General features: G+C 41.4%; 1 protein-coding gene across 58 annotated transcripts in view; it reads right to left on the bottom strand.

The window, feature by feature from the left end:
* FGGY (FGGY carbohydrate kinase domain containing) overlaps nt 1-20,289 on the bottom strand; it is a 466,353-nt gene that overhangs the window by 276,925 nt on the left and 169,139 nt on the right. The window contains exon 1 of one of the 58 annotated variants that reach the window (XM_047424401.1): nt 11,604-11,686. The exons of the other annotated variants lie outside the window; for them this stretch is intronic. Coding sequence (XP_047280357.1) covers nt 11,604-11,616 — 13 coding nt within the window. The 5' untranslated portion in view covers nt 11,617-11,686. Of the gene's footprint in view, nt 1-11,603; nt 11,687-20,289 lie in introns of those variants that run through there. 58 annotated transcript variants of the gene reach the window in all.

Raw genomic sequence — 20,289 nt, 5'->3', positions numbered from 1 at the left:
CTTAGAAAGACTGTTGAATGAGTTATGTGAGCTATTACAAATAAAGATCTTAGAACAGTTCCTAGTAAATAGTAGGTGCTCAATAATGATAGCTAAACTTACTACCTTAATTTAACTGTTGTTTTCCCAAACCTTATGAGTCACCATTTTTATTAGTTATGATTAAGTGTAGCTACAAATCTACAAAACAGTGATTTTCTAATAAAGCAAAAACAACAGCAAAAACAAATAAACAAATTTCCTACTCATACAAACAAAGTCCAGAGGTAGTGAATCCAAGGCTGGTATGGAAGTTCCACAAAAGCTCACTGTTCTGCCATCCCTGGAGTATGGCGTCTGTCCCCCTTATCCAAAGTCACTGCTAACCTACCTGACCAGCCAATCTACCTGACCCAGGGGAGGGAAAGAGGATGGCCACTGCCTGATCTCCTTAAAGGAGACGTCTCAGGAATCCCACAGGACACATCTGCTTATACCTCATTGGCCAAAACTTAGATGAACATGTGTAGCTGCAAAGGGAGCTGGGAAATGTAGTCTATAATGAAAGACCCTGATGTACCCTAAAAGCCTAAGTTTTGTTAATAAAAGGGATGACAGTGTAGATTAGATGGGCATTCAGCATTCTCTGGACTACTGGTAACATGCCACTAGCTAGTGAGAAAGTTCAGAAGTTGATTCCAGTCCTATCCTATTTTATTCAAAGCTTTGGGGTTCACAACAAATCAAAGGACATTTTCCAAGCACATTTTCTCAAGATCTATAATCCTGCCTCCTCTACTTTAATTATTTTGAAAGCACATCCCCCCTATGGGTGTGATTCACTCTAAATTATTGAAAAATTGATTTTTTAAAAAGATGTCTGCAGGCCAAGATTTTTGAACCATTTTAAAGAGCTGGAAAAATAATAAAACCACTCTTTCTTTTGAAGAATAGAATCATGTTTTTTAGAAAAGAGAGAAAAAAAACTGAATGCTAAAATTAATGTGTCTACATATTCCTTAGTGATGGATAACCTATCTTTTATAAGTCTCTGACTTACAAAGAAATATAAAAGCCCATACTCTCATCACTTATCATGGTGAATTTTATTTGAAAACACACATTATTTACTTCATATTAATTATGGATTATCAATAATCTGAGTACTTTTTATTACCAAATCTTTTAAAATAATGCAAGTGAGAGTGACTCTTCATGGAGGCATTATTTACTGATGCATTTTTCCAATCACAAGGATATATAATGAGGCTCATAAAAAAGTCATGTCTGTGATTGAAAGTCCCTTTCAAATAAACATTACAGTCCTAAACAAATGCACTTTTTACACCCTGGCAAGCTTACCAGATTTCTACTGCATCACAGAGACAGTCCACAAGAAGGTATTCCTTTAAGGCCCATGGAAAGAAGATGATAGAGTAGGTGGACCATAATAGAAAAGGGAGCAGGGAGAAAGATGATATAAGGGAGAATGCAGAAGACATATCGGATCTGGCCCTGTTCAGTGAGATGAGTCAGAAAACCAGGAAGCCAAATGAGTCAGCACCATCCCTATGAAAAATGCAGGGATTGAAATGACTGGAGATCTAATTTACTGGTAAAAAGCATGAGATTTTGGAGTCAGGCCTGCTTTTGAATTCCTGTTCCTCCATCAAATAACCATGAGACTTTGGGACAGTTATCTACCCTCTGTGAGCTTCAATTTCCATATCTGTAAAAGGAAGATAATAATGGTACCTGTACCTCATTGGTTACTGGGGAAGTTTACCTGCTAATTCATGTACAATGTTTGGCGACAGTCCCTGGCATATAATGCACACTCAACAAATGATAACCATTATCAGTACACTATTTCCTTTCCCTATTTTTTTTACAGTAGACATCTTCCCTTCAAGACCCCTGCTTCCTTCATCTTTTATTTTTTTTCAAGAAGCCAAACTGTTAGGAGAAGGGGTGGGAGTAGAGAAGACAGTCTGAATTCATCTCCCCAGGACTTCTCATTTCACTGAAGTTGGAATAACAGTGAGGAAATTGCTTTAGACAAGGGTTTCTGCTTTTGCTGTTGATTTAAACTGTCACCATAGGCTAAAAATGAAAATGCAAATTTTGAACAAAGCTAAGTTTTCATCTAGGGCAGGAAGGAAATGCTTAGGTTGGTAAAAAATAAATGAAAATGCCACTTACTGACCTGTCCCAATAAAGAAATACCTCAAAAAGCTAAGAACAGAATCGAACTAGATACAGAGAATAGACAATTTATGACTTAAGACCACAGTAGAAAATAGTCCTGTTTAGGAAAAGTTTGAAGTCATAATCACAAATCCTAGAGAAGTATTTTATTCTCATAGGTCTCAGCACTTCCCTTTTAGTAATAACAATAAATTAATCATCTGTTTTCTCCATAGTTGATAGGCATCTCGCAGGCAGGGGCTGAGTATCTTCACATGTGCTATCTCCAGTATGTAGCACAATATCTGCAAAGGGTATACTCAGTAAATATTAGTCTGGCAAATGAGTTAATAAATACAGGAAGGAGTGATTTTCATCAGCATTTTCCTCCATTCATGTTGAGAATTTTCCTGGCTAACCAACAAACTTGGCAAAAGTAGTAGGAAAGTCACTCCATGAAGAAGCAGTATTTTTGGTCACACACCAATGAAGTATGGCAGGTTGCTGACCCTCCAGGATGTAACAGCTGGAAGACACTGAGAGATCATCTACTCCAATGGATCTCAAAGTGTGGCTGGGAACCACCACTTGGGAACTTATTGGAAACACCAGTTCTTAATCGCTCCAGAGAATTTCTGATTTAGAAACTCTAAGCAGGCCCAGGAATCAGTGTTTTAAGAATCCCCCCAGGTGGTTCTGACGTATGCTCTGGTTTGAGAATCACTGAATTCAATCCTCCTCAGTTCACAGAGTAGAAAATGGGGCCCAAAAAGGAAATGTCAGTTAAGTTTGTTGATCTGAAGATCAACTTTTGTAATAACTAGATAATTTTAAAAGTGCCAAATTTACAACCTCTTAGCTTTGTGATGTTATTTCACCTCTCTGAGCTTCAGTTTCCTCACCTATAAAATGAGAAGAACAATGGCACTTCATGGTAATTATAATAATCAAGTGATACTATATATAAAAGACACAGAATATGGTGTTTATATATATATATATATACACACAGACACACACACACACATATGTATATATACACACACAGACACACACACACACACACACATATATATACACATAGACACACATATATAAATCTGTAATTCTCTGTGGGAAATAATAGTCAAGATTCTTATGTCCAAAAACTGTTTATATATATATAAATATGCAGCCTCTTAGATAAGTGGTCATTTTTGCTGCGGCAAAAACTTGCTTGAAAGTGAAAACATTTGTCCATGATTCATATAATTGTGCTTGAGGTTACAGTTTGCTACCATGAAGGCTACAGGCTTCATTTTAGGTTTGTGTCTGGCAAGCCCGAGCCCACAGGAGGTTCTAAACATCAGGCTGGTTTTTGAAATAATTCCAGGGTGACCTAAGCCACTAAAAGAGGACTCAGCTGGTGATAAAAGGATCTTGGTAAACATGATCATCAACTTGACAAACACATTTGTTTGGAGATATATAACCCTTAGTCTGTACCCCTATAAACTGAATTTTCAGAATAGCTTAGTATACCCAAGAGAATACAGATCTTGTTCACCATCTGGTTATTAGATACCCTGTCTTCCTGTACTTGCATAGCTGGGTTGATGATGGCATGGGGAAATAAATCAGTCACACTGGTCAAAAAGTAGTTAGCAAAGTCCTGAACTAGTATTCACAATGTCAGGAAATAGGATTCTATAAATCAGACTTTCTTTTCATGTCGGTTTTTATAAGATACTCTGTGAAATAGATCCAAATACATACACATTCCCATGGGTAAACATGTGTTTCTTCATATACACTGGGGTAAGATAAAGTGGGGCAGTGTACCCCTTAGAAAGTCTCTGTCTTACCAAGTCAGAAATCTGTTCAGTTTAATCTCTTACTTAGACCGCTGGCCTTGCAAATACAATACCTAAAATAATGACATTGTACAACGGTATGTCTCAGTTAAACTGCTGATGGGTCTGGCATTATGAAAACAGAACCTGCAGGAATCGGTACCTAGAGACTTCCATGTTGACAGCTAAAGAGTCAACAGAACCCTGAGGCTAAATAGGTGATTCATTTTTACAAAACAGATTTCTTGGTTTCCACGTTTTTTATAAATATGCCCTTTTACTCCCCTCTTGATTCCCACATGTCATAATTCTGATGAGAAGAGTATTTGCTGAAGAATAGGGACATGCATTCAGGAAGAGAGAAAGCACTCGCACAGGGCCACAAAGGACCACTGGGAGAAGATGAGACCCAGGTTGGATGGGGCTCCAGCTCAGCCACAAATTAATGGTTCTAATTATTTAATATTCCTGGGCCTCAGTTATCTTACTTATGACACAGGGTTGATGCTCCCTAATGTTTCTTTCTAAGTACTAACATTCTAAAATTTTTAAAAATTTAAAGAACTCTATAGGGGAAAGAAAAGGCAAATTGGACCATATTCAATTTGGATCACATCATTTCCTTGTTTAAAATGTTTTAACAGTTCCCTGATGCCTAATGCAATAGTTTCTAAACATTTTGACTGTGCAAGTCACTAAGAAAAAAGTCTTCAGATGGACTCCCAACATAGCTATTACTTATAAATTGTATATAATGTACTATTGAACTTATAAATTATATGTGTGTATGTCAAGATGCATACCTAAAAATAGAATTTAAACAAAATGAAATAAAAATGGAGATAAATAAAAATACCAACATTTTTGTCTATACCCAGTAGACCATCTTGCTTGACATCACCTGGCATATAAGACCTCATTTAGAGGCTAACACACGGGATGAAGTTTAAGTTCCTCAGCTGGAATAGAAGGGCATTATGATTTTTTGATCCCTGCCTACTTCTCTGTTTCCTCCCTCCCTTTTCCCTGCCTCAAACTCAGTGTTCCAGCACCTTCTTCCCACATCATATTGCTCAGCACTAAACTGTATTCATGCTGTCACTTCTGTCAGCATCTCCTTCACTCAACTCTTCACCTAGAAAACACTTCCTCATTGAAGGTGGGACTCCAGGTTGCTTACCTAGTGCCCCTCCTCCTCTTCTTTTTAAATAACACAACTCTCATTTTATTGAAGGCTGAAATGTGACTGGCAAAAAATGGACCTTTCCCCAGCTTCCCTTGCAGGTAGTAGTATGTAATACGGTTCTGGCCATTGACATGTAGGCAGAAGAGACCGAGTGAGGTTTCAGAGTTAACACTGGAACAGAAGCAAAGTCCATACTTTTGCCCTTTGTCCTTGTCCTTCTTCCTGGAACATGGACTCGATACTGGAAGCAAAACAAGACCATGAGAGCAGATCTTGCGGTGAGAAGGGTGTCGTGTGCAGAAAACCAAAAGAGGGCAACTGAGGTCAGAGATCAATGAAAACAGTGGTGCCAGAAGGAGGGGAGACCATAATTCGGGTTTTTGGTTTTTGCCCTAAAAGCATTGGGAAGACTTGAGAAGGTTTATGCTGGGAGGTCACAGGATTAGATTAGATTTTCATTATAAAAAGTTCATGCTGGCTGCAGTGTTCAGGATGGACTGAAAAAGGCAAGTTTCCATTCAATGACAAGTGTTATAAGCCTGTTGAATAATCCAGTTGCGAGATTATGGGAACACAGGCTAGGTAGCATTTTGAGGTGGAAAGAGTTCATGAATTATAGACGTATTTGGAGCCTAAGACTGACAGCACTTGGTAACAGATTAGATACAGCATATAGAAAAGAGGGTGGTGTCAAGGACTTGCAGAACAGACTACTGCTATTCATTAAGATTAATAAAACAAAAGAACAACCCTTTCCTGTGTGCTTACAACCAGATGCTGAGTGCTGCTGGAGAAAATCACACCACAGGGCAGATTTATAATAAATTCATGGCGACCCCTAAGCAGGGTTCTGTGTACCGTTTGATAATCCTCCAAGATTTCTCTAATCATCTTTTCCCCGATCCTCTGTACTTCTATTTTAAACCTTTTCCATTTTTTACAGATTCTGACTCTCTCACTTGGCTACCACTCTGTCAGAAGATCATCTCACTTTTTACTTCACAAAGAAAACAGAAGCCTCATGAAGGGAAATCCCTTAACTTCCCACTTCCGAGCACATGCTGCTCCCATGAGCTGTACCATTTTTGTCTTCTTCCTACCTATTAAAATAGAAAGTCTGTATTCCAAGGCTAATCCTGCCTGTCTTCTCTGGACCCACAGTACTGATTCTCCCTTCTCTCTGGGTATCAGCAACCCATCACTCACTACTAGAATCTTCTTATCAGCAATCAGACATGCTCAAGCAAATCTCCATCTTCCAACAATCAATCAACCAAACAGTGGAACACTCTACCTATTTCCAACCGTCTTCCTCCCCTAGTGACCACCCCATCTCTCTCTCTCTCCCCCCACACTCTGACCAAATTTCTTGAGTTATCTAAACTTTCTGGCTTCATTTTCTCAACTGTGACTCTGAGTCCTGACACCTGTCTTGGCTTGAACCCAGCTATATGACCTTGGGTGATTAACTTCTTTATGCCTCATTTTTATCCTCTGTAAAAAATGGGAATGGGGTGAGATGACTACACATCTCATGTTGTTGTAATGTAACAGTCCACATTAAGCACTTGGCACAGCATCTGTGCTCAGTGTTAGCTGTGGCTGCTGTACGACTTTTATCTTCTGCCTCACTATTATAAGCAAGTGACTTTCACTAAGGTCCCCGAGTCACTATATCAAATGAACAGTGTCCAGTCCTTATCTCCCTTCCTTTTTCAGCATCCTTGGAGATTGTTCCCTCCCCTTGTAAAATCTCCTCATTATCTCCCTGCCCTTGGCAGGTACATCCTTAGCCTCCTTTGCAGGCACATCTTCCTCTACCTGGCCTCTAAAGTACTGAAATTTCTCTTCTCCCTCTAGAGTCTCTCACACATATCTATGGCTTCAAATATCATCTACACTTATGACTTCCAAATCTCTATTTCTAGCCTTTTTTCCTAGCATAGATCCAAATGTCTACTCTATGTTTTTATTTGGATATCTCAAAGGCACAAACTCATTATCTTGCCCTCTTTTATTTAATTATCCTCTGAAACATATTGTATCTGTATCTCTAATGCTTACTTATTCATTCATTTACCAAATATCTATTGAGTACCTACTATGTTCCAGACATATTTCTACATGCTATGTTATAAAATGTTTCAGACAGCTTATAACTAGTAGGCAAATATAAAATGAGGTAAGTGGGATCAAAGATTAAATAAACCAAACATGGGAACAAAATAAATTGAGGTGAGGTTATAGCTTTATACCATAGTTTATAAATCTACTATAGATGAGGCTTCAATATGCTGTCAATTCTCAAGCAACCAAAGGGGTGAGGGATATCTTGACAGTTACTCCACATGATACCCACGAGAGACAGAGAAAATAAAAGTAATTACTCAGAACAACTAAGAAAAACTAAAAATTATCTGGATATCCGGATAAGATAAGATTGTTCCCACGAGGCCTGCATTGAGAGGTCTCTGTTTGAGGTCATCCAAATTCTCAGAGAGAGGTATTACTTTCCCAATCTGGCAAGTGGTTGAACTGAGTGGCCTTCGGAGGTTAGGTAACTTGTTTGATACTGGTCACAAAGGTAGTAAATGGCAGGGCCAGGATTCAAACTCATGTATATCTGGCTCCAAAACTCATGTTATTTCCATTACTCCAAAGTGCATTTTAAAAATAAATACCACCCCCAACCCCATCCCCAGCTCTGAGTCAACAATAGATCTCTACATACAATATCCATAACAGAACAACCTATGACATTGCAAAAACTCTGGATTTTAAAGATCCCTGGCAGTTTCTGTGCTTTCAATTTAAAGATAAATGAATGGGGGAGGGAAGCAGAACATGAAGTATTAATAAACATCGTAAAATCATTACCTGGTCCCTTAAGTAGCCTCTGAAGTAAGGGCAGTGGGGGGAAAATTACAGTGGGTTTTTCCCCCCTCATAATAGATTGTACATTTCAACAGCTAAAAGCGTATGAAAATTTAACGGAATTTTTAATGTCTTTCTAGGTTTTATGATACCACAAAGAGATCATCTTTGTTCTCCTCACCACAAGAACAGATGGGTAGCAGGGGTGGTGGCTCCATGACTCACTACCTCCTCACGCCCGCAAAGACTGTCTAAGCAGCAGGCAAACTTCTGGGATCAATAGGGTTCATGGCAACGCAGTGTCTGCCAGCAAACCTTGGAGGAGGCCATTAGTCAACTGGTGACCTGCCACCCTGACCACTGCAGCCCTCTGATGCAGATTCTCAGAAAGGTTAGCTGGTGCTGGGAAACTTAAAAGGTCATGGGTATCTCGGAGTCAAAACTCCACAGAACCAGAGTGAAGAGTACTGCAGAGGAGCTACAAAGTCAGAGGTAAGGGCCACATTGGAGGCCAAAGTCACCACCTGATAGCTGTGTGACCAAGAAAAGCTAAGCAGAAGAGCTGCGATGTGTCACATGCAATAGAGAAGGCCAACCACTGGGAATGGCTGCCTTTCAAGAACACTGAAATAAATGACCTCTAAATGGATGACAATAATGGCATGAGGTCAGATGTCCAACTGAGATCCAGAAGCAAGTCCCAAGTCAATAACTTTCAAAAAACAAGGAAAAATAAATCCAAAACTGAATTGTGAATTTTAATGTGATTAAGGCACATGAAGCTTTGCAAGATATCATACTGTTCACTTATTCTTCTCCTAGAATTTCAGAGGAGCCGAGATGGTTCCAATTACTGGACAGTCACATCTTCAGCCCTCTTCTCCCTGTGCTTTTTCAAAGACAGAGAGGGAGGAAAGAACCTCTGAGGCAGCACTTTTCTTCTGTCATCTTGAGTAATCTCAAGTCAGCACTGAGGAAGGGAATGTCAGACAACACTCAATTAAAATCTAGATCTATAATTTACTAATATTTTGACATTGGGCAGGTAATTTGATGAGAAAACCCAAAACTGCTCAACTGCTTCTCAAATTCACTGGCTTTAAATTATGTTTTTCATCTGGGGCCCTGGGGCCTTTTTGTCAGTGGTCTTCATGAATGTGAGGCCCAGAATGAAACATGTGACTTCAGGCATCACTGGACTAGGACTGGGACTCTTGTTGAACTTAGTCTGAGAACTGCAGCTGTATCAGCGCAGCCCAGGCCAGGAGACTGCAGCTACATGGACAGATGTGCAGGATCTGGAGCAGACCTGTCTCTGATTCCATTACTTACTGTGTGACCTTGAGCAACTTACTTAACCTCTCCTTTCCTTAATTTCCTCATCAGTAAAATGAATATAGTAGTACCTGTCTAGACTGGTTAAAGGCATTAAACGAGTTAATACCTATAAAGCATCCAGACAAGACTGATTAATTTTGGATAGTCATGAGTGTTAAGAATAAAATACAACAGGGAAACAGAATACTGCTGGAGTAGAAGAGAGTGTTTGGGTGGTAAGGGAAAGCTCTTCTCTGATGACATTGAAGCTGAGATCTGAACAAAGAGAAAGAGGTAGACCATGTGAATATTTTGAGAAGGGCCATGCCAGACAGAAGGCAGAGTTAACGCAAAAGCTATATACACTGGAAATGTCTGAGGGACAAAAAGAAGGTCATTGTGGTTGGATGGTGACTACGTGGGGGCATGGTAAGCAATAAAAGTCAGACAGAGATCACGCAAGACTTTGTTGAACATGGCAAGGAGTTATTTTTTTCCCAGCTGCAATGGGGAGCCACTGGAGGAATTTAAGCAGGAGAGTAACATGATCTGATTTACATTTTTAAAATATCACTCTGGCTGCTGTGTGGAGAATGGATTATCAGAGGGAAGGACAGAAACAGGGAGACCATTTAAGAGGCTAGCACACAAATCCAGCAAGAAATAAAACTACTTTGAACTACGATACTAATAGTGAAGAGGGGCAGGAATGCCTCATTCCGGGTCCACTTTGGAGCAAAGCAGAAAGTACTTGTTGATGGATTAAATGTAAGGTGTAAGAGGAAGAAGAGAAGCATTAAGAATGACTTCTAGGTTTGGGTCCTGAATGACAGGGAGAATTGTGACACCTTCTACTGAGATGGAAAAGACCAAAGCTCATCAATCCTGGCTTCCCCAAGTGTAAAACTGAAATCAAACCTATTTTACAAGTTTGGTGGAAGAAAAAAGCACAATAGTGCATGAAAAGAAAAACTCTTCTAAGTTGTAAAGCACTGTAGGAACATTAGCCATTATTAATTAACTAGTTAATTGTTAACCAACATATCCTGTATTTTTTTTATTTGCCTGTGGATATGCACCCCTCTATTCATGGAAAAAAAGCTAAAGATTGCCAGTCATGTGGACCTGACGAATTCAGGAAAACCCTTAATTCCAATTAAGATGCCTCTCAAGGAAGGTTTGTGATTATGAAATGTGATTATAATTTAGAAGCAGAAATCTAATTAATCTTATTGTATCTTGGTTGGAAAAAGGTTGTGTGAATCCAAGGAAGAAGCTCAGAAAAAAGGAAAAATTCCAAATCTAGAAGTTGGCAATAATTACCTGGGATTATTCAAGGGGTTATGGTCTTTGGCAGATAATCTATCACCTAGAGAGAAATCTGAATTCAGAGGAATGGACAATCATTATAGTAGTAAGAACTTTCATTTTCTGAAGACCTATTGTATGCTAGGAACTTTACCTGCATTATTACCTTTCATCCTCATGATATACTTACTAATCTTCATAATATACTAATTGAGGCTGAGAAAGATCAAGTAACTCACCCAAAGTTACATATGGCAGAAATTTCATTACAGATGACAGTCAGAATTGAAGTCAAGTCCATCTGACCCTGGTGACCAATCTCTTAACTATTACCATAGGCAACTGTGAACTTATTACTTATTTATTCTCGTTTATCTACATCAGTCACTTAAGGGCTTGATCAGTGTGTTCCTAGATCCAAAGGTCTCTGACTTGGGCAAAGTCCAGTTCCTACATTTGCATGACTGAAGATTGGACAATGGATTGGGTAAATTTACCTATGTAAATCGTTCCCTCCTTGACATTCTTCTAGTGGTTAGCTTCATTCAAATGTCAGTATCCAGATTGGCTAAATGTCCTCACATTGCCAAAAAACTCAAACAGGAGAAGTGGCAGGAAGGAGTAGAACCACCACAGGACTAAGAGTCAGAAGACCTGGTTTCTGGTCTCATTTCTGTCATTAAAATGCTGCAGGACCAAGGAAATTCACCTCACATCCCTGAGTCTCAGTTTTTTGTCTATAAAATGAGTGCATTACAGTAAAATCTCTATGATCCCTTTCAGCTCTGACAATCGCTGATTCTCCAGCAGTAGGAAGAGAAGTTGGGGGTGACCTCACTTTTGGGGGACTTCCAATTATCTTTCAGATGCCGTATTGAAAGGAGGAACATTTCCACAGCAAAACCTCTGAAAGTTATTACCTTGTATCACCATGATGTGGTCAATGTTACTCCTTTGCCCTTCTGGCTCTTTAGGGCTATTCCTGGAAGGGCCAGCAGCTGAAAACAGTCCTTCTGCGAATCTAAGGAGTGTGAACACAGTTGGAACAGAGTGATGCAGGAGTGAATATTCTTGTCCTCCAGGTGCCAAGGTGTACTTACAGTTGGTAAGAACATTTCTACAGGCTTCGTAAACCACACTGCCCTGTGACATCTGATATCACATTCCAGCTTCACAACAAACCTTTATGGAAGGGAGGATAGCTAAGGGGCAAGGTATGTGACTTTAGAAAAGAAAAGAAATGGGCTTGCCACCTGCCCCGACACACAAACAGCTTCATAGGAGCCACAAATATTCTAAAATGGCTCCTACTGCCCTCAAGTGTTATTTACTGCATTGGCAGGAGTAGTAATTAGAACCATCTCTTGAAAGGAATAGAGTGACTCCTGCCATGTTGAGTCTCTAATCGGTGGCCCCATCTTTGAGGAAAGTTAGAAGTTCCATCAGAAACTAGCCCCCCATAAACTCTATCTTGCCCACAACTACTCCTCTCCACCTTGCTTCAGGTCCACTATGCTCTGGCCACACCCAACAGTTCACACACACTCTGCACTCTTCCATGCCTCCATGTCTGTGCCTGCACTGTTTCTTCTGCCTTGGAAGCCATTTCCCCTCTTTTCTGGTAAACTACTGTGTCCAGAATTGCTGGGTTCTTGGTCTCACTGACTTCAAGAATGAAGCCGCGGACCCTCACGGTGAGTGTTACAGTTCTTAAAGGTGGCGTGTCCGGAGTTTGTTCCTTCTGATGTTCAGATGTGTTCGGAGTTTCTTCCTTCTGGTGGGTTCGTGGTCTCGCTGGCTCAGGAGTGAAGCTGCGGACCTTCGCGGTGAGTGTTACAGCTCTTAAGCCGGCGCGTCTGGAGTTGTTCGTTCCTCCCGGTGGGTTCGTGGTCTCGCTGGCTTCAGGAGTGAAGCTGCAGACCTTTGCAGTGAGTGTTACAGCTCATAAAGGCAAAGTGGACCCAAAGAGTGAGCAGCAGCAAGATTTATTGCAAAGAGAGAAAGAACAAAGCTTCCACAGTGTGGAAGGGGACCCGAGTGGGTTGCCACTGCTGGCTCGGGCAGCCTACTTTTATTCTCTTATCTGGCCCCACCCACAACCTGCTGATTGGTAGAGCCGAGTGGTCTGTTTTGACAGAGTGCTGATTGGTGCGTTTACAATCCCTGAGCTAGACACAAAGGTTCTCCAAGTCCCCACCAGAGTAGCTAGATACAGAGTGTTGATTGGTGCATTCACAAACCCTGAGCTAGACACTGGGTGCTGATTGGTGTGTTTACAAACCTTCAGCTAGATACAGAGAGCCGATTGGTGTATTTACAATCCCTGAGCTAGACACAAAAGTTCTCCACCTCCCCACCAGATTAGCTAGATACAGAGTGTCCACACAAAGGTTCTCCAAGTCCCCACCAGAGTAGCTAGATACAGAGTGTGGACTGGTGCATTCGCAAACCCTGAGCTAGACACAGGGTGCCGATTGGTGTGTTTACAAACCTTGACCTAGATACAGAGTGCCAATTGGTGTATTTACAATCCCTGATCTAGACATAAAGGTTCTCCATGTCCCCACCAGACTCAGGAGCCCAGCTGGCTTCACCCAGTGGATCCCGCACCGGGGCTGCAGGTGGAGCTGCCTGCCAGTCCCGCGCCGTGCGCCCGCATTCCTCAGCCCTTGGGTGGTCGATGGGACTAGGCTCCGTGGAGCAGGGGGCGGCGCTCGTCAGGGAGGCTCGGGCCCCACAGGAGCCCACGGAACAGGGGGAGGCTCAGGCATGGCGGGCTGCAGGTTCCGAGCCCTGCCCCGCGGGAAGGCAGCTAAGGCCCCTCGAGAAATTGAGCACAGCAGCTGCTGGCCCAGGTGCTAAGCCCCTCACTGCCCTGGGCCGGTGGAGCCGGCCGACCGCTCCAAGTGCGGGGTCCGCCGAGCCCACACCCACCCGGAACTCACGCTGGCCCGCAAGCACTGCGCGCAGCCCCGGTTCCCGCCCGCGCCTCTCCTTCCACACCTCCCCGCAAGCTGAGGGGGCCGGCTCCGGCCTTGGCCAGCCCAGAAAGGGGCTCCCACAGTGCAGCGGCGGGCTGAAGGGCTCAAGTGCCGCCAAAGTGGGAGCCCAGGCAGAGGAGGCGCGGAGAGCGAGCGAGGGCTGTGAGGACTGCCAGCACGCTGTCACTTCTCACTACCACTCCAATTTTCCAGACACATAAAATGCCACCTCATGAGAAAATTTCCTTGATACCACCACCAGTGCCAGTGACTGCCTGCTCTGCTTCTCCATGGCATCTTGGACATCTGTAGAGTTACTGAAAAACCTTGAGATTACTGATTCATTTACCTGCCCCTACCCCTAGTAGACATGAGATCCCCAAAGGGATAGACCATGATGAATTCACTTTTGTATCCCTAGGACTTAGCCCAGCACCTGGCACACAGGAGACACTTGGGGAGTGTGGTTGGCTGGATGCATGACTGGATGGATGGCTAACTGGCATGGAGACCTCCAAGTCATTCTTTATCAGGCAGAAATTCGATACTAAAGAGTAAAATAAGGCATCAATACTCAGAGGATAGGTACTTGCCTTCAAGTACTGTGAAGACCTGGTTCTGTCACTTAGACAGGGAAGAGAAGGATAATAAGAGGATAAGGTAAGATCAAAAGCTCAGGGTGACAGGCAAAAGCAAATCTCAGTCCAGAGTACCCACAGGGATGGCCTCTATATTACTCCATCTTCACATTGCTATAAAGAAATACCTGAGACTGTGTAATTTATGAAGAAAAGAGGTTTAATTGACTCACCATTCCACCTGGCTTGGGAGGCCTCAGGAAACTTAGAATCATGGTGGAAGGAGAGGGGGAAGGAAGGCAGGAGAGAGCAAGAACAAGCAGGGAAAATGCCAAACATTTATCAAACAACCAGATCTCTGAGAACTCCTTCACTATCAAGAGAACAGCATTGGGGAAACAGCCCCCAGGATCTAATCACCTCCCACCAAGTCTCCCCCTTGATATATGTGTGGATTACAATTTGAGATGAGATTTGGGTGGGGATGCAGAGGCAAACCATATAAGCCTCCCTCAGGAGAGGGGAGGTAATGGTGTGATGGGCCCCATTTAACCTAGAAAAGGCTGGGATTACCTGTAGTTAAAGATTTCTCCAGAGCTCTCAATATAAATTAGTAAAATTGGCACTTATATCACATGATACAAAGATGAAGCAGCACTTCAGCAAAGCTCTGAGGACAGAAATAACTGAATTATATGGCTCATTCAAATCAAAATGAAAAACAAGCCACACACTATAAAGAATGAAGACATGAATCCTTGTAAACATGTCCACTTTTACTGGAAAAATTCAGAACATTGAATATTAATTGCTCTAAAAGGATTTTACAACACCCACAACTATGGATGGCATCACTGGATTCAGGCTTCCAGCACTGGACATAATGCATGTTGTTGGTGGAAACCTCTATGGTTTGTTTACAAAAGGGAATTTCCTCTTCTTTCCCCTAAAATGAGGTAGTATTGGTGTGAATGCTCCCATTTCCTGCTTTTATAATCTCCCTTATTCCATCCATGGGAGAAGGAATCACTTAGCTGGATCCCTGAGACTGAAAAGATTGTATAATAGTATCCATGAGGCCGTGTTAAATGGGAAGTGGGGCCACAGTCCTGAAGTGGAGTTCATGAAGGCTTGGCATGTATCTCTGTGATGGTTTGAATGTCCCCTTCAGAAGTCATATTGATATGAAAAAAAGGTCAACATCACTGATCATTAGAGAAATGCAAATCAAAACCACAATGAGATACCATCTCACACCAGTCAGAATGGCTATTAAAAAGTCAAAAAATAACAGATGCTGGTGAGGTTGTGAAGAAAAGGGAATACTTAAACGCTGTTGATACACTGTTGGTGGGAGTGTGAAATAGTTCAGCCATTGTGGAAGACAATGTGGCGATTCCTCAAAGACCTAAAGATGGAAATACCATCTGACCCAGAAATCTCATTACTGGGTATATACCCCAAAGAATATAGATCATTCTATTATAAAGACACATGTACATGTATGTTCACTGCAGCACTGTTCACAATAGCAAAGACATGGAATCAACCTAAATGCCCATCAATGGTAGACTGGATAAAGAAAATGTGGTACATGTACACCATGGACTATTATGCAGCCATAAAAAAAGAACAAGATCATGTCCTTTGCAGGGACATGGATGGAGCTAGAGGCCATCATTCTTAGCAACTAACACAGGAACAGAAAACCAAATATCACATGTTCTCACTTTTAAGTGGGAACTAAAGAATGAGAACACACGGACACAATGAGGGGGATAACACACACTGGGTCCTTTGGGAGGGTGGAGGACAAAGGGTGGGAGGAGGAAGAGGATCAGGAAAAATAACGGGTACTAGGCTTAATACCTGGGTGACAAAATAATATGTAAAACAAACCCCCATGACACAAGTTTACCTATGTAACAAAACTGCACTTCTACCCTTGAACTTAAAAGTTAAAAAAAAATATGAATAAAAGCTCAGCATATTAAAACAAAAAGTCATGTTAAAATTTCATTGCCATTATGACAGTATTAAAAGGTGAGACTTTTAAGATGTGATTAAGCCATGAGGGCTCTGCCCTCATGAATGGATTAATGCCATTGTCTTAGGAGGCACTTCTGATAAAGCCAAGCCCCCTCTTGCCCTCTCTCATTCTTGTGTGTGCAGTCCCACACTCTTGCACCCTTTGCCATGGGATGATGCAGCAAGAAGGCCCTTATCAGATGCCCAGAAGTTATCGGCACCCTTGGGCACTGCAGCCTCCAGAACCATGAGCTGAATTAATCTCTGCTGATTATAAATCACCCAACCTCAAGTATTCTGTTATAGCAGCAGAAAAGAACTAATACTTTCTTCTTGAGCCACCTGTACTCAGGCCTGTGGGCTCTGAGTTCATGAATCAATCTGATCAAGTGCAGCTTGCTTCAGGCAAGTATAGGTGGCTTCTTTTCTCTTTGTCTCAGCTTCTTGGCCAGCCAGTGGGTGGATAAGTCAGTATTGTGCAGGTTCCAAAGTCTAGCCAGATTCCAACAAGAGGCAGAAGATCCCTGAACTTTGATTCAGTGTGACCAAAGCCAATACTGCACCCTTGCCTGAGGTGGCTCTGTTCACTGGCACATTTATGTCCCCAGCATATACCTATCATTAGTTCATTAGTCAAGATCCTTTTTTTTTTTTTTTTTTTTTAAAGACAGAGTCTTGCTCAGTGGAGCAGACTGGAGTGCAGTGGTGCAATCTTGGCTCACTGCAAGCTCCGCCTCCCATGTTCACGCCATTCTCCTGCCTCAGCCTCCCAAGTAGCTGGGACTACAGGCGCCCGCGACCACACCTGGCTGATTTTTTGTATTTTTAATAAAGACAGGGTTTCACCATGTTAGCCAGTATGGTCTCGATCTCCTGACCCCATGATCCACCTGCCTCGGCCTCCCAAAGTGCTGGGATTACAGGTGTGAGCCACCACGCCCAGCCAAGATTCTTTACTTACAAATTTTTAGCCTACATGACAAAAATATCTAAAGTGTAGCTTCATTTAATGTTCAGTTTATTTTACTCTATGAAAAAGTGAAATGCCCAACCTTTCTAAGATTAATTCTTGTTTTCCTTCTGTGAAGGAGTCTGTGATATTTCCTAAGATAGAAAAGTCTCTGAGAGATTTGCTACAGGAATGAAATAGAATTGCACTATCACTCAACATAGGGTGTATCTTCTGCAGGGACCCGTCTTATGTAGAAGGTGTTCATGAAAGATGACAGTGAACACTGAATTAAGGAAATACATTCATTGCCTGTTAGCTAGTAGTATTATTTAATTCAAAAAATTTACGAAAGTCCATTGTGGTTTAGAAACAATTGAAGCCAGTCGGGCGCGGTGACTTATGCCTATAATCCCAGCACTTTGGGAGGCTGAGGGGGGCGGATCACTTGAGGTCGAGAGTTCGAGACCAGCCTGACCAACATAGAGCAACCCCGTCTCTACTAAAAATACAAAATTAGCCAGGTATGGTGGCGCATGCCTGTAATCCCAGCTACTCGGAAGGCTGAGGCAGAAGAACCACTTGAAACCGGGAGGCAGAGGTTGCAGTGAGCCGAGACTATGCCCTTGCATTCCAGCCTGGGCAACAAGAGAGAAACTACATCTCAAAAAAAAACAAAACAAAACAAAACAAAAAAAACAAGAAAGAAACAATTGAAGCCAACAAGGGACTTAAAAAAAATCAAATCCTTAATTCAAACATATATTAACTCATTCAATGAATATTTCATCAGTATCTAAAATGTGCCAAGTGACTGTGTTTTTGTCATCTGACACCCAAAGTACAGTCTCATAGGGATGGAGGAAATCCATTTTATTATTATTTTTTTAATTTCAGTACAGTGGTGGGGAAGAAAGTGTAACTGTAATGTCATCATAGGAAGTAGAGGCAGTAAAAGACAATTATTGTAGTAACTCTATAATAAAAGGAATTACAGTAACAAGATGTAGCCTACAGGGAAATGTAAGATCAAAGAAAGGGATAAATTTAAGAAGGGAAAAGTATAATAGGTTTGTATGTTTTTTTTTTATTATACTTTAAGTTCTAAGGTACATGTGCACAACATGCAGGTTTGTTACATATGTATACATATGCCATGTTGGTTTGCTGCACCCATTAACTTGTCATTTACATTAGATATTTATTCTAATGCTATCCCTCCCCCATTCCCCCACCCCACGACAGGCCCTGGTGTATATTCCCCACCCTGTGTCCAAGTGTTCTCATCGTTCAATTCCCACCTATGAGTGAGAACATGCCGTGTTTGGTTTTCTGTCCTTGTGATAGTTTGCTCAGAATGATGGTTTCCAGCTTCATCCATGTCCCTACAAAAGACATGTACTCATCCTGTTTTATTGCTGCATAGTATTCCATGGTGTCTATCTGTTACATTTTCTTAATTCAGTCTATCATTGGTGGAAATTCGACTTGGTTCCAAGTCTTTGCTATTGTGAATAGTGCCCCAATAAAAATACGTGTACGCGTGTCTTTATAGTAGCATGATGTATAATCCGTGGGTATATACCCAGTAATGGAATCGCTGGGTCAAATGGTATTTCTAGTTCTGGATCCTTGAAGAATTGCCACACTATCTTCCACAATGGTTGAACTAGTTTACACTACCACCAACAATGTAAAAGTGTTCCTATTTGTCCACATCCTCTCCAGCACCTGTTGTTTCCTGTTTAATGATCACCATTCTAACTGGTGTGAGATGGTATCTCATTGTGGTTTTGATTTGCATTTATCTAATGACCAGTGATGATGAGCATGTTTTCATGTGTCTGTTGGCTGCATAAATGTCTTCTTTTGAGAAGTGTCTGTTCATATCCGTTGCCCACTTTTTGATGGGGTTGTTTTATTTTTTCTTGTAAAGTTGTTTGAGTTCTTTGTACATTCTGGATACTAGCCCTTTGTCAGATGAGCAGGTTGTGAAAATTTTCTCCCATTCTGTAGGTTGCCTGTTCACTCTGATGGTAGTTTCTTTTGCTGTGCAGAAGCTCTTTAGTTTAATGAGATCCCATTTGTCAATTTTGGCTTTTGGTGCCATTGCTTTTGGTGTTTTAGACATGAAGTCCTTGCCCATGCCTATGTCCTGAATGGTATTGCCTAGGTTTTCTTCTAGGGTTTTTATGGTTTTAGGTCTAACATTTAAGTCTTTAATCCATCTTGAATTAATTTTTGTATAAGGTATAAGGAAGGGATCCAGTTTCAGCTTTCTACATATGGCTAGCCAGTTTTCCCAGCACCATTTATTAAATAGGGAATCCTTTCCCCATTTCTTGTTTTTGTCAGGTTTGTCAAAGATCAGATGGTTGTAGATGTGTGGTGTTATTTCTGAGGGCTCTGTTCTGTTCCATTGGTCTATATCTCTGTTTTGGTAGCAGTACTATGCTCTTTTGGTTACTGTAGCCTTGTAGTATAGTTTGAAGTCAGGTAGCATGATGCCTCCAGCTTTTTCTTTTTGCTTAGGATTGTCTTGGCAATGTGAGCTCTTTTTTGGTTCCATATGAACTTTAAAGTAGTTTTTTTCAGTTCTGTGAAGAAAGTCATTGGTAGCTTGATGGGAATGGCATGGAATCTATAAATTACCTTGGGCAGTATGGCAATTTTCATGATATTGATTCTTCCTATCCATGAGCATGCAATGTTCTTCCATTTGTTTGTGTCCTCTTTTATTTCATTGAGCAGTGGTTTGTAGTTCTCCTTGAAGAGGTACTTCACATCCTTTGTAAGTTGGATTTCTAGGTATTTTATTCTCTTTGTAGCAATTGTGAATGGGAATTCATACATGATTTGGCTCTGTCTGTCTGTTGTTGGTGTATAGGAAATGCTTGTGATTTTTGCACATTGACTTTGTATCCTGAGACTTTGCTGAAGTTGCTTATTAGCTGAGGAGATTTTGGTCTGAGACAATGGAGTTTTCTAAATATACAATCATGTCATCTGCAAACAGGGACAATTTGACTTCCTCTTTTCCTAATTGAATACCCTTTATTTCTTTCTCTTG

The sequence above is a fragment of the Homo sapiens genome, chromosome 1 (assembly GCF_000001405.40).
Source record: "Homo sapiens chromosome 1, GRCh38.p14 Primary Assembly".
Classification (NCBI taxonomy): domain Eukaryota; kingdom Metazoa; phylum Chordata; class Mammalia; order Primates; family Hominidae; genus Homo; species Homo sapiens.
This window is presented reverse-complemented; position numbering and strand designations above follow the sequence as displayed.